The sequence below is a fragment of the Homo sapiens genome, chromosome 1 (genome assembly GCF_000001405.40).
Source record: "Homo sapiens chromosome 1, GRCh38.p14 Primary Assembly".
NCBI lineage: Eukaryota > Metazoa > Chordata > Mammalia > Primates > Hominidae > Homo > Homo sapiens.
Window position 1 is genome coordinate 100,168,635 of NC_000001.11, and position 14,722 is coordinate 100,183,356.

General features: G+C 37.2%; 1 protein-coding gene across 5 annotated transcripts in view; it reads right to left on the minus strand.

The window, feature by feature from the left end:
- Positions 1 to 11,033, minus strand: part of LRRC39 (leucine rich repeat containing 39) — a 31,220-nt gene extending 20,187 nt beyond the window's left edge. For 2 of the 5 annotated variants that reach the window (NM_001256386.2, NM_001256385.2), the window contains exons 1-2: positions 9,484 to 9,622; positions 4,697 to 4,736 (exon numbers count right to left, since the gene is read on the minus strand). The gene's annotated coding sequence lies outside the window, so the exon portion shown is untranslated. Of the gene's footprint in view, positions 1 to 4,696; positions 4,737 to 9,483; positions 9,623 to 11,018 lie in introns of those variants that run through there. The other 3 variants (XM_047445522.1, NM_144620.4, NM_001256387.2) reach the window with 3 other exon arrangements.
- Positions 11,034 to 14,722: the final 3,689 nt, after the last annotated feature.

The window sequence follows — 14,722 nt, forward strand, 5'->3', positions numbered from 1 at the left end:
CATTGAGTACCATAATGATCATAATAGCTAATATTTATAGAACACATTCCATGCTCCAAAAACTATTTTATATACTTTACATGCCATATCATATTTAAAAACTCTCATAAAATACTATAATATAGGTACTTTTATTGACTAATGTATAGATGAGAAAATTAAGCTTTAAAGAAGGTGAACAATTTTCTTGGGGGTCTCATATCTAATATATGATTCCTTTGTTACTGTGTATTTCATAATAATGAAAAACTGCAACTAGTCTTCATGTCCAATTATAGGAAAATGGTTAAATAATGGAGATTTTTAAAAAGACTGGAATCTTGAGATATCAATCTAATCAGGACACCATATGCACAAGTAGAAATTCAGTTAAGTGATAATATATTGGGATTGTTTCCTTTTGTGTAAAATAAATTGCAAATGGATGACGCAGTATTAAGGATTTTGACCTGAATCTCAGAAATGAAAGGAAAATACTCAATAATAGGAAAATGGTTATGTAAATTATGGTAGGTACATTTTATGGAATATCCTATGGCCTTAAAATAATCGTACTGATTTTTGATCAAATTAGTAATAATAAAATAATTTGATTCACAATTATTTGAATTATTTCCTTTCAAATTCAGGAATGCAAAGACATTCACAATCACTTCTATTCAACATTATAGGAAAACCATAAAGGAAGTAAAGTAAATAGAAAGTAATGTAGTTGGAAAAGAAAGCAATAAAATTTGCAACAACATAGGGAAACAGACACTTTCCTTCATCAATGGTGGTATTATTATATTCTGTATGGAGAGAAACTTGGTAATACTTACTAAACTCACTAATGCTCATCCACACTAGCAATTTATCCCTCAAATATTTTTGAAGTTATTCGCAGTGTTTTTCATAACAGCAAAATATTGTAAACAACCTAATATTTCATCGGTAAACTATAGTCTACCCATATCATGGGAAATTATATAGCTCAAAAAAAAGAAAAGAAAGGTATCTTATATATTCATATGCCATGATCTCCAAAATATATAACTATCCCACAGTTTATCCATTCTAATGAATGTGAATATTTGGGTCCCAGAGCTTTGCTATTATAAGCAATAATGTTTCTAAAATTAATGTTTTTATCTTCTTGGTGTTCCAGTGGAATTATTTCTACTGGGTACATATCTAGAATTAGAATTGCTGGATCATAGTGTATGTAAATGTTCCAATTTATAAGTCAGAGCCAAATTGTTTTCCAAATTGATTGTGCCCATTTATACTCTTACTACCACTGTATAAGGGTCCCCGTTGATATACATCCATTACTGCATAAAGCCATATCCCAGGGTGGTCATAATTTGTACTTCCCTGATGATTAAGTGTTCCAAGTTAATATACAAAGGTTGTCCAGTTAAAGAAAAGACAAAATCCTGAGTGTTGTTTATGAGAGGCACACCTAAAAAATAAAGGTAGAGAAAAGTGGACAGTACAAGAACAGGAAAAGATCCACTCCTAAGTATATAGAAACAGAAATGAAAACATATGTTCTCACAAAATCCTGCACATGAATGTTGATAGAAACAGTATTCATAATAGCTAAAAAGTGGCAACAACACAAATGGCCATCTACTGATGAATGGATAAACAAGATGTGGTATATCCATACAATGGAATGTTATTTGGCCATAAAAATGAATGAAGTATAGATACATGCCACAGTATAAATAAACCTTGAATAAAATTATGCTAAGTGAAAGAAGTCAGACACAAAAGACCACATATATGATCTCATTTATATGAAATGTCCAGAATAGGCAAATCTGTAGATTCAAAAAGTAGCTTTGTGGTACCCAGGGGATTTGTAGAGGGGGAAATAGGGAGTGACTGCTAACTGTACAGTTTTTTGAGTGATGAAAATGTTCTAGAATTAGTGATAATGATTGTACAACTCTTGAATAAAACTACTGAGCTGTACACTAAAAGAGAGAATTTATATATGAATTATATTTCAATTAATTTTTTCTTTCTTTTTTATATCTTTATTTCTTTCGTTTCTTCCTTCCTCCTTCCCTCCCTCCATCCCTTTCTTCTTTCTTTCTTTGCTCTTTTGAGACAGGGTCTCACTCTATCACCCAGGCTACAATATAGTGGCGGGATATGACTCTCTGCAGCCTTGACCTCTGGGCTCAAGTGATCCTCCTGCCTCAGCCTCTCAGGTAGCTGGAAGTATAGGCATGTGCCACCATGTCTGGCTAATCAATTAAATTTTTTGAGAACTGAGGAAGATATACTATGCAAACACTAAGCAAAAGAAGGCTAGTATCAATATATTAATAGCAGACAAAATGGACTTTAGGCACAAATACTTTACAGATATAAAAGATCAATCATATCATAATAAGAGATTTAATCCACAAGAAATATAAAACAACTTTAAACTACATGCCTCTAATAACATGGCTTCCAAATATACAAAGGAAAATTGACAGAACTAAAGGGAAAAATCAAGGAATCCAGAACTGAAGTGGGATATTTTAACAATTCTTTTAGCAATTGGTTGCACAAGCAGTTTAAAACTTAGGAAGAATACTGAAAATTTGAACCACACAATGAATAAACTTACTTAAATGATAAATAAAGAACTATATCCTACAATGACAGAATACATAATGCTTTAAAAAACACATGGAAGAGTCACAGAAAAAAAATCTCATATTGGGGTCATAGAGCAAGTCTCAGTCAATTTCAAGGGATTAAAGTAGCATGAAGTTTTTATTCTAATCAAAATATAAACTTGCTAGAAATCAATAATGAAAAGATACCTGGAAAAAAAGCCTATATTATTTCAGCTAAAGAAACACACTTTTTTTTTTCTTTCTTCTTTTTTTTTTTTTTTTTGAGACATGGTCTCGTTCTGTCCCATAGGCTGGAGTGCAGAGGCGTGATCTCGGCTCACTGCAGCCTCAAACTCCAGGACTTAAGTAATTCTCCTGCTTCAGCCTTCCAAGTAGCTGGGACTACAGATGTGTACAACCATGCCTGGCTTGTTTTTTTTTTTTTTTGTAAAGACAGGGGTCTTGCTATGTTGCCTGGGCTGGTCTCAAACTCCTGGGCTCAAATGATGCTCCCACCTCAGCCTCCCAAAGTGCTGAGATTACAGGCTTGAGCTACTGCACCCATCCATGAAACACACTTCTAAATAACCTGTAGTCAAAGAAGCTATCATCATGAAATTAGAAGGCATTTTGAACTGAATTAACAAAAATACCACAAATCAAAGTGTATGGAATATAGGTAATGTAGTAGAGGGAAATTTCTAGTCTTAAGTATACATTTTAGAAGAAATGAGGCTAAAAAATTTACATCCATCTCAAGAAGCTAGATAAAACAAACACAAAGAAAACAGAAGAAAGGGAATATTATAGATAAACACACACATGTATAAAATTTTAAAATGACACAATAGAATACAATAATAATAATCTAAAATCTCTCCACAAACAAAATGCTGGTCCCAGAGATGACTTCAGTGGAAAATTCTACCAAGCATTTGAGGGGTAAAAAATAACACTAATCATAGAATGAACTCTTCCTGAGAATAGAAAAGAAATACTCCCCAATTCAGATTATGAGATTAGCATATGCTTGATACCAAACCCCAAGAATGGTAATTCTAGAAAGAAAAATACAGACTAATCTCACTAACAAATATATTAACAGAGAAAAGTCCTAAACCATATACTGGCAAACCATATCTGGCAATATAGGAAAAAGAAAATACTGGCCAGGCGCACTGGCTCATGCATGTAATTCCAGCACTTTGGGAGGCCGAGGCGGGCAGATCACTTGAGGTCAGGTGTTCAAGACCAGCCTGGACAACATGGTGAAACCCCGTCTCTACTAAAAAAATACAAAAAAGGCCAGGCGTGGTGGCTCATGCCTGTAATCCTAGCACTTTGGGAGGCCGAGGTGGGCAGATTGCATGAACTCAGGAGTTCGAGACCAGCCTAGGCAACACAGTGAAACCCCGTCTCTACTAAAATACCAAAAAATTGTGGCCAGGCGCGGTGGCTCATACCTGTAGTCCCAGCACTTTGGGAGGCCGAGGCGGGGGGATCACGAAGTCAGGAGATCAAGACCATCCTGGCTAACATGGTGAAACCCTGTCTCTACTAAAAATACAAAAAATTAGCCGGGCGTGGTGGCAGGCGCCTGTAGTCCCAGCTACTTGGGAGGCTGAGGCAGGAGAATGGCGTGAACCTGGGAAGTAGAGCTTGCAGTGAGCTGAGATCATGCCACTGCACTCCATCCTGGGTGACAGAGCGAGACTCTGTCTCAAAAAAAAAAAAAAATTAGGAGGTTGCAGTGAGCCAAGATCATGCCACTGCACGCCAGCCTGGGTGACACAGCGAGAATCTGTCTCCAAAAAAAATAAAAATAAAATAAATAAAAATAAAAAATACAAAAATTAGCCAGGTGTGGTGGCATGCACCTGTAATCCCAGCTACTTGGGAGGCTGAAGCAGGAGAATCGCTTGAACCCAAGAGGCGGAGGTTGCAGTGAGCTGAGATGGTGGCACTGCACTCCAGCCTGGGCGACAGAGCCAGACTCTGTCTCAAAAAAAAAACAAAACAAAACAAAACAAAAAAAAGAAAATACATTACAGCCATATTGGGTTTATTCCAGAGATTAAGATTTGTTTGCTTACCTTTGTTTGAGAAATCAATTAATGTAATATTCTGAATAGACTAGAAGAGAAAGAAAATATGATCATTCCAATAGATGTAGAAAATTATTAAAATTTAATATCGTGATTAAAAACAAGTCTTAACATACTCTAAGTAGAAGATAATTTATTTAACCTAACCAAGTATGTCTAATAAAAACCTGCAGCAATCATACTTGATAGTGTAACATTGAAAGCCTTTCATTTAAAATTAGTAAAAGATGTCTGCTCTCACTACTTCCATTCAATACTGTATCATGGCTCTACCCATTGCATAAAAGCAAGAAAAAGAAATAAAAGGCTTAAAGTTTGAAAAGGAATAAAAAACAAAAGGACATTTTTCATGAGTACAATTATGAACTAGAAAATCCAGGAGAATTTACAACTAAATATATAGAATTTAGCAAGACTTCTGACAAGTCAATATTTTGAAAAATCAATTATGTGTCTATATTCCAGCGGAAAATATATATTAAGTTCTGAAAAATATACTATTTTCAATAGCATAAAAATCAAATTCTTAACAATGAACAGAATATGTAAAACTTCTATACAGAAAACTAAAAATTAGAGTGAAATTAAAGAAGGCCTAAATAAATGAAGAGATATACATCATATTCATTGATAGAAAGACTCAATCTGTAAAAATGTCAATTATCCCCACATTGAACTATAATCAATCTCAATACAAAATTCATTTGGAGAAGGAGAGGAGCAACCTGACAATCAGTTTCTAATTTTTAATGACAATTCTAAGGATACAAAATAGCCCAGACACTCTTGCCAAAGAAAACTAGAGTGGGAGGATTTATTTTGCATTCATCAAGATCTCTTTTAAAGCTATGGTACTAGATAATGTTATTGGTGCAATAGAAAAACATACCAGTGTACCTGAATAAGGAACCCCAGAAACAGACTCATATACACATAGGCACTGCAGAACATTGTGGAAATTTTTTTTTTTTTTTAGACAGGGTCTGGTTCTGTTGCCCAGGCTGGAGAGCAGTGGCATGATCTTGGCTCACTGCAACCTCCACCTCCTGGGTTCAAGCCATCCTCCCACCTCAGCCTCCCAAGTAGCTGGGACTACAGGTGCACACCACCACACCTGGCTAATTTATGTATTTTTCTGTAGAGATGGGGTTTTACCATGTTGCCCAGGCTGATCTTGAACTCCTGGGCTCAAGTGATCTGCCTGCCTTGGCCTCCCAAAGTGCTGGGACTACAGGTGTGAGCCACCACACCTGGCCATGGGAATAATTTTTTAAGAGAAATTATATTGGGACAGTTGAATATCTATGTATTACCAAAATTAATTCCATGTGAATTGTAGATCTAAAAGTGAAAGTAGAAAAAATAAAGCATTTAGGTGACAATATAGGACTTATCTTGATGTCCTTAAAGTAGAGAACACTTTTTAAAACAGAATACAAAGCATATCCATAAAGGAAAAGATATACTATATCACAATATAGTTTGAATATATGTTCCCACCAAATCTCATGTTGAACTGTAATCCCCAACGTTGGAGGTGTTGGCTAGGTAGGAGGTGATTGGATCATGGAGGAGGATCCCTCATGGCGTGGTGCTGTCCTTGAAACAGTGAGTTCTTGGGAGATCTGGTTCTTTAAGTTTGTGGCACCTCCCCCTGCTCCCTCTTTTGCTCCTGTTCTGGCCTTGCGGGACGCAGGCTTCCCCCTTTGCCTTCCACCATGATTGAAAGCTCCCTGAGAAGCAGATGCCAGCACCATGCTTCCTGTAAAGCCTGCAGAACCGTGAGCCAGTTAAACCTCTTTTCTTTGTAATTTACCCAGTTTCAGGTATTTCTTTGTTTTGTGGTTTTTTGTTTGTTTGTTTTTTGTTTTTTTGAGACAGGCTTACTCTGCCACCAAGGCTGGAGTGTAGTGGCACAATCATGGCTTATAGTAGCCTTGATCTCCTGGGCCCCCTCTGCCTCAGCCTTCAGAATAGCTGGGACTACAGCAAGAACCAGTGTGCCAGTTTTTTTTTTTTTTTTTTGGTAGTGACAGGATGTCTCCACATTCTCCAGGCTGGTCTTGAACTCCTGGGCTCAAGTGATCCTCCTGCATTGGCCTCCAGAAGTGCTAGGATCACAAACATGAGCTGCTGTGCCTGGCCAGTTATTTCTTTATAGCAATGCAAGAACAGCCTAACACAGATTGATAAAGTGGACTACATTACAATTAAGAACCTATTGAAAGACATCACTTAGAAAATAAAAGGAATACCATGTACATTAGTGGGGGAAGATATTGGCAATATATATAACCACCAATGGATTACATCTAGAATATATAACGAACTCCTTAAAATCAGCTGAAAAAGGCAACAGAAAATACAATTGAACAGGAAATTTTCAAAAAATAAAATCCAAATGGTAGAACTTTCCCTGTGGAGAAAAAAAAATCCAAATGACCAAAAACAAATGAAGTTGTGCTCCACCTTAATAAAAACATAATAAGATACCAATGAACATCTGTCAGAATGGCTAAAATTCAAAAGGCTGATTATACCAAGTGTTGGTGAGAATTTGAGTTACAGAAATCCTCATGGACTCCTGGTATATTGGTGAAATTGTAAATTAGTATTAACTATTTTGAAATACTTATGTACTAATATTGAAGATAAGCACAGCTTATGATCCAGCAATTCCATTCAAAGGTATGTACCTAGAGGAAGGGTGTGTCTCCACCAGGAAACATGAACAAGACTGTTCCCAGCAATGTTTTACATGATAGTAAAAAAATTAAAAATAAAGTAAAACAATGTTTTAAAAGCAATAGCTGGACATGGTGGCTCACGCCTGTAATCCCAGCAGTTTGGGAGGCTGGTGGATCGCTTGAGGTCAGGAGTTCAAGACCAGCCTGACCAACATGGTGAAACCCCGTCTCTACTAAAAAAACATAAAATTAGCCAGGCGTGGTGGCACATGCCTGTAATCCCAGCTACTTGGGAGGCTGAGGCAGGAGAATCACTTGAACCCGGGAGGCAGAGGTTGCAGTGAGCTGAGATTGCACCATTGCACTACAGACCAGACAACAAGAATGAAACTCTGTCTCAAAAACAAACAAAAAAAAGGAATGGCAGTATTCATCCATTGAATTATAAAAATAGCTAGAATTAAGGGGGAAAAAACTGTGTGACATTGGAGATATGGTGAAAAGATGAAATTTCTTCTCCCAATAAGCAAAAAGAAAGGCAGTCAGAAATTGTGTTGAGGAAGACACTGTACAAGAAAGCCACAGTCCATATATAGAGCCAACAAAATGTGGCATGATTTTTTAGCATTTATTGAAGTGCAGGAAAGGAGAATCTATTTTAACATTCTTCTTTAGTACAATGAATATGACATTGATACTGAGAAGGAAATGTTGGCTCTGCAGAAAACAGAAATTACATAGTAAAGTCTATGTATTGGTCTTAAACTTTTGAAATAAATCAATCTATAAAAAAGTAAGGAAGACTTATTGAGGGTTACAGAACAGAATATAAATGCCATATATCTTGAAAACATAAAAGTGACAGTACTTTTAACAGAATATGGAAGAAGGAAATAAGGAAAAGAAGTAAATGATAAGAACACCGATATCCACATCTTCGAAGTGGGGAATCAACAGATACTGTCTGTACCTTATGGAACAAGAAATAAAGATTAAAGTATTTGCTTAAAGTTATTAAGGTAATCAAGAGAGAAGCTAAAAATAGGGATATAACTCTATGGCAGTGTAAGGGAACTTAATCCCCACCTCTCATAATGAAGCTCCACAGATGTTTAAAGTTGATTAAAAATAGCATGCAATTGTCTTTGAAAAAGAAAAAAAAGAGAGAAATATGGAGATAACCACTGAAAACTAAATTCCAAAATGGTTAAAATGATTACTTCTAGGGAGCAGGACTGGTGATAGAGAGGAATCGGATAGATAATATTGCTTTTCATTATTAACCTCTTCTAAATTATTGATTTTTTAAACTAATATTATGCAGTATATATGTGTGTGAGACAGTCAAAGAAAGAGGAGAACTATATTACAGAAAAAAGTTTAAAATTTCAAGATTGATAAATAATTGGCATAGGCAGGAAATTGTTGAGAGAATCTCTAAGCAAGGCATGCCGAATTTACTCAGGAACAGAATGCGAGATCTCTTTGCTGTGAAGAAACCTTGGGATACATACACTGGTAATCCAACTTCCTGAGCATATTGCAACCAATTTACAATTTATTGTCTCTAATTTAAGAAAGTTTGAAGTTTTTGCTAAATACTCGAATAAAAATATTTTTGAATTCCCAAGTATCTACATGTATACATGTATTTTAGAAGACATGTAAAACAATTCATCCATTTGCTAATTCATTTCCTCATTTGCCATTAAATGTTGCTCATCCATCAGTTTTCCTATAACAACCAACTTCCCCTAGGGAAACACAAGTCAATAATGATATATTTCTTCCTCCAGCACAGGACTGCTCTCTACTCTGATTAGTACCATAATAGAAAAAAAGCACATAATGTGACAAGTGAGGTAAGCATAGAAAAGAATTGCAGAAGAATTGTTTCTTACTTCTGGGGAAATCTATCTTCCAGAGGAGCACAATTATATGAGTGACCATGAACACCCCGCAAAAAAACTTTTAAATTCTATTCCAGTTTGTTTGGACATTCCAACCAATACAGACACAGTATAGGTATCAGCAGCAATCTATTTACATGTGAAGAAGAAAGGAAAAATGTTTTTGAAAAATACTTACCATTGTCAAATACTTACCACACATAACCAAAGTTAGCGACTATCAGTTAAGAGTAGATTGCAGGGGGAAATTTTTTTTTCAGTGTGGCTCCAAATGATTAAAATCCCCAGTCAGCTGTAACCAAGTGAAATGTAATGTCAGCCTAGTTCTAATTTTAGTTCATGGACAAAGCTGAGAATAGAAAGAATCACATGAGGCTTCTTTGCGACGGATCAGCTGATAATGTATGTGAGTGCGTTCTGTGGACTGCAAAATACGCTACAGACATTATAAAACTATCAGGCATAACTATTTCTAAGATCTTGAAAAATAATGCCTATTCAAAGTCCTTCTACTTTTCACAGCTTAATCATTTCACAGAATTTCATGCATCTATTCCATCCAAGCAGAGAAACTTGGAATATGTTGATGTATGCCACAACAAAAATTCTACCCAGTAAACCATGGATCTGCAAATATTTGAACTAAAGACCCAGATGCTTTAGAAAAAGAAAAAATAAAGGTGTGGATAAGCATGAGTAACACAGAAGCCCCAAACTTCTGCTGTACCTGGGCTTCAAATTAAATTACCTCTCACTTTGATCTCTTCAGCTTTCATAGATAGGACTTAATTCCAGGTTCTTAAAAAATAAACTATATCTTTTTTTGAATTTATAATATATGCACATGGAACAGAATTCAAAAGCTCAATCTCCACTCTCTCCATCCCCCACCCCTTCCACCATCCCTGCCTCCAGTAGGGAGGTTCTCTTCAAGTTCTCTTCTCTGAAGGCAACCACTATTGCCAGTTCTTTGTGTACCTTTACAAAGATGGTCTATGAATTTACGAGCTTAAATATGCCTATATCCCTTAAAAGCACACATATGTGAAGGCATGCACACATACAAAAATGGTAGCATACTATATACATTGTTCTATACTGTCTTTTCTTCACTCAGGATATCTTGGAAACTGTTTCATATTAGTATATTTAGAGCAGCGTCATTCTTTTTAATGGCTACATAGCAGTTTAGCGTGTAGGTGGATCATAATTTATGTAGTCATTTGGACATCTCAGCAATATTAATGCTTTAAAAATTTATGCCTGATTATCTCACAGAAATTCTCCAACACTTCTATAATGAATTAAGTTCTAAGAGTTGTGGGACTGCTCAAGATCACAGAAAGAGTAAAGAAGCCATGGCCACAATTGAAACTCTAACTTCCCTGTCCCGAGAGTGTACACCACCCAACACATACAGAGTGCTTGCATGTGTTCATAAGTAAAAATCAAGATCTCACACCTGTAATCCCAGCACTTTGAGAGGCCAAGATGGTAGGATCACTTGAGCCCAGGAGCTGGAGACCAGCCTGAGCAACAGAGTGAGACCCTGTATCTACCAAAAAAAAAAAAAAAAAAAAAAAATTAAAGTAGCCAGGCATGGTGGCCCTGTCTCCATAAAAATAAAAATAAATAAAATAAAATAAAACTAGCCAGGTGTAGTGGTGTGTATATGTAGTCTCAGCTACTTGGGAGACTGAGGTGGGAGGATACCTTGAGCCAGGGAGGTCAAGCTGTGATGGTGCCACTGCACTCCAGCCTGGGCAACAGAGCCTTCCTTGTCTGAAGAAAAAAAAAAAAAAAGAGAGAGAGAGAGAGAGAGATCCAGGGAGTTTTGTTTCAGTTAAAAAGAACAGTATATTGTTACCTTGGAGAAAATTAAGATTTCTTTCTGCCTTTGGCACTACGTACAATTAAATTTTAATTTGACAGTATTTATAGAGAACCCACAAATTTCAAGGCATCTCTCTTCTCCTTCCCTTATCTACCTTTTATTTCCCATCCCCATGGAGTGACTTACACTAAAGAAATGCCCGGGAGGATAGGGAAAGTGAATAGATGCCTGAGCTATTTATGACACAAATTAGCCAGAATTTTGGTGACTTTGGAGGGATGTAGAAAGTGAATGCAAAGAGACAGGCACTATATAATGAATATCTATCTGTCATTTACGACTGTCCAAAATATTTTGAACACCATCCACATTTTTATAATCCCCCACATCATGAATCCTACCTTTCCAAGGTAGAATTTGAGGGGGAAAAGAAATCCCAGCCTCCCCTGCTACTGGAATGGGGTATGTGACTAATTTTATACACTACTAAGGTTCCACTAATTATATACACCAACAAAGGGCTCTGTTGGGTGACTTGTGTCGCTGGTGTCCATTTTTGCTGGCATGGGTAGCAGCAAAGGCAGTATGTTCTGGGGTTTGTTTTGGCAGCAAAAGTTGCCTAGCCTCAGCAGATGTAGCTGGTTCTGGGGTCAGCAGCAGCAACTCCCTTACTAGGCAAGTACTGTAATGTAATTCTGGAATTCTGACAAAGGCTACGACATGGATGATTCTTGAGGACATTATGCTAAGTAAGCCAGTTACAAAAGGACAAATAAAAAATTATGGAGATAGATGGTGGTGATGGTTGCACAATATTATGAATGTGTTTAATACCACTGAACTGTACACTTAAAAATGATCGGCCGGGCGCGGTGGCTCACGCCTGTAATCCCAGCACTTTGGGAGGCCGAGGCGGGCGGATCACGAGGTCAGGAGATCGAGACCATCCCGGCTAAAACGGTGAAACCCCGTCTCTACTAAAAATACAAAAAATTAGCCGGGCGTAGTGGCGGGCGCCTGTAGTCCCAGCTACTTGGGAGGCTGAGGCAGGAGAATGGCGTGAACCCGGGAGGCGGAGCTTGCAGTGAGCCGAGATCCCGCCACTGCACTCCAGCCTGGGCTACAGAGCGAGACTCCGTCTCAAAAAAAAAAAAAAAAAAAAAAAAAAAAAAAATGATCAAGATGGTAAATTTAATGTTATGTGTATTTTATCACACAGAATACACTCTATGTTGTTCTCACAATGGCAAAATCACCAAATGACGTATTTCTCAGAATGTATCCCCATCATTAAGTGGTGAATGACAATATTCTGGATATTAATCTCTTATTAGATATAATACTTGCAAATATTTTCTCCCATTCTGTGGGTTGCCTTTTTACTCTCTTAATAGTGTCTTTTGATGCACAAATTTAAAAAATTTTATGATATCCAGTCTGTCTTTTTTTTAAGAGACAGGGTCTCACTCTGTTACCCAGACTGAAGTGCAGTGGCGCAATCATAGCTCACTGTAATCTTGAACCCCCGGCCTCAAGCAATCCTCCCACTTCTGTTTCCCAAAGTACTGGGATTATAGGCCTGATCCACTTCACCTTTTCTTCTGTGGCCTGTGCTTTTGATGTCTTATCCAATAAATCATTGCCAAATCCAATGCTGTGAAGCTTTTCACCTATGTTTACTTCTTAGAGTTTTATAGTTTTGGATCTTACATTTAGGTCTTTGATCTGTTTTGAGTTAATTTTTTTTTTTTTTTTTTGAGACGGAGTCTCGTTCTGTCGCCCAGGCGGGAGTGCTGTGGCGCGATCTCCGCTCACTGCAAGCTCCGCCTTCCGGGTTCAGGCCATTCTCCTGCCTCAGCCTCCCGAGTAGCTGGGACTACAGGCGCCCGCCACTGCGCCCGGCTAATTTTTTGTATTTTTAGTAGAGACGGGGTTTCACCGTGGTCTCGATCTCCTGACCTCGTGATCCGCCCGCCTCGGCCTCCCAAAGTGCTGGGATTACAGGCGTGAGCCACCGCGCCCGGCTTGAGTTAATTTTTATACATGGTATTGGGTAAGGGTCTGTCTTAGTCTGCTCAGGCTGCTATAAAAAAATTTTGAAATAGGTAGTTTGTTTGTCTGTTTCCCCAACCCCTCTCCCAAGTCTCTGGTAACCACCATATTCTCTACTTCTATGAGTTCAACTTTCTTAGATCCCGTGTATAAGTGAAATTAAGTGGTATATTTGTGTTTCTGTTCCTGGCTTATTTCACTTAATATAATGTCTTCCACATTTATTCATGTTGTTGCTAGTGACAGGATTTCTTTCTTTTTCAAGGCTGAATAACACTCCATTGTGTACATATGCATTTTCTTTATCCATTCATCTGTTGATGAACACTTAGGTTCATTTCATCTTGGCTAGTGTGAATAATATTGTAATAAGCATCAGGGTGCAGATATCTGTTTGACATACTGATTTCCTTTATTTTGGATACGTACTTAGTACTGGATTAATGGATCCTATAGTAGTTTTTTAATTTTTAATTTTTTTTAGGAATCTCCATACTGTTTTTCACAAGGGCTGTACTAATTTACATTCCCACCAACAATGTGCAAGGGTTTCCTTTTCTCCACATCCTCACCAACACGTGTTATCTTTTGTGTTTTTGATAACAGTCATTCTAACAGGCGTGAGGTGATATCTCACTGTGATTTTTGATTTGGGGCACTTTTTCATATACCTGTTGGATATTTTTATGTCTTCTTTGGAGAAATGTCTACTCAGATCCTTTGCCAATTTTTAAATTGAGTTCTTTGTTTTCTCATTGCTGAGTTGAGTTTCTTTTTTTTTTTTTTTTTTTTTATTAACCCCTTATCGGATGTATGATTTGCAGACAGGTTGTCTCTTCACTTTGTTGTTTGTGTTCTTGGCCGTGCAAGAGATTTTTAGTTTGGTGTAATCCCATTTGTCAATGTTTGTTTTTGTTGCCTGTGTTTTTGGATTTGTATCCAAAAAATTATTGCCCAGATGAATGTCATGGAGCTTTTCTTCTATGGTTTCTTCTAGTAGTTTTATAGTTTTAGGTCTTATATTTAAGTCTTTAATTCATTTGTAGTTTATTTTTTAATGTAGCATGAAGTATTAGTTTTATTCCTCTGTATATGGATATCCAGTTGTCCCAACACCATTGAGTGAAGAGAGTGTTGTTTGCTGATTGTGTGTTCTTGGCACCTTTGTCAAAAATCAGTTGACTGTTGGCTGGGCATATTGGCTTATGCCTGTAATCCAAGCACATTACGAGGCTGAGATGTGTGGATTGCTTGAGGTCAGGAGTTTGAAACCAACCTGGGCAACATAGCAAGCCCCTGCCTCTACAAAAAAAAAAAAAAGTTTTAATTAGCTGGGCATAATGGGGCACACCTGTAATCTTAGCTACTCAGGAGGGTGAGGCAGGAGGATCCTTTGAGCCCAAGAGCTCAAGGCTGCAGTAAGCTATGATAGCATCACTGCACTTCAGCCTGGGTGACAAAGGGAGACCCTGTCTCAAAACAAACAAAAAACCAATTGACCATAAATGTGTGAATTTATTTCTGGGCTCTC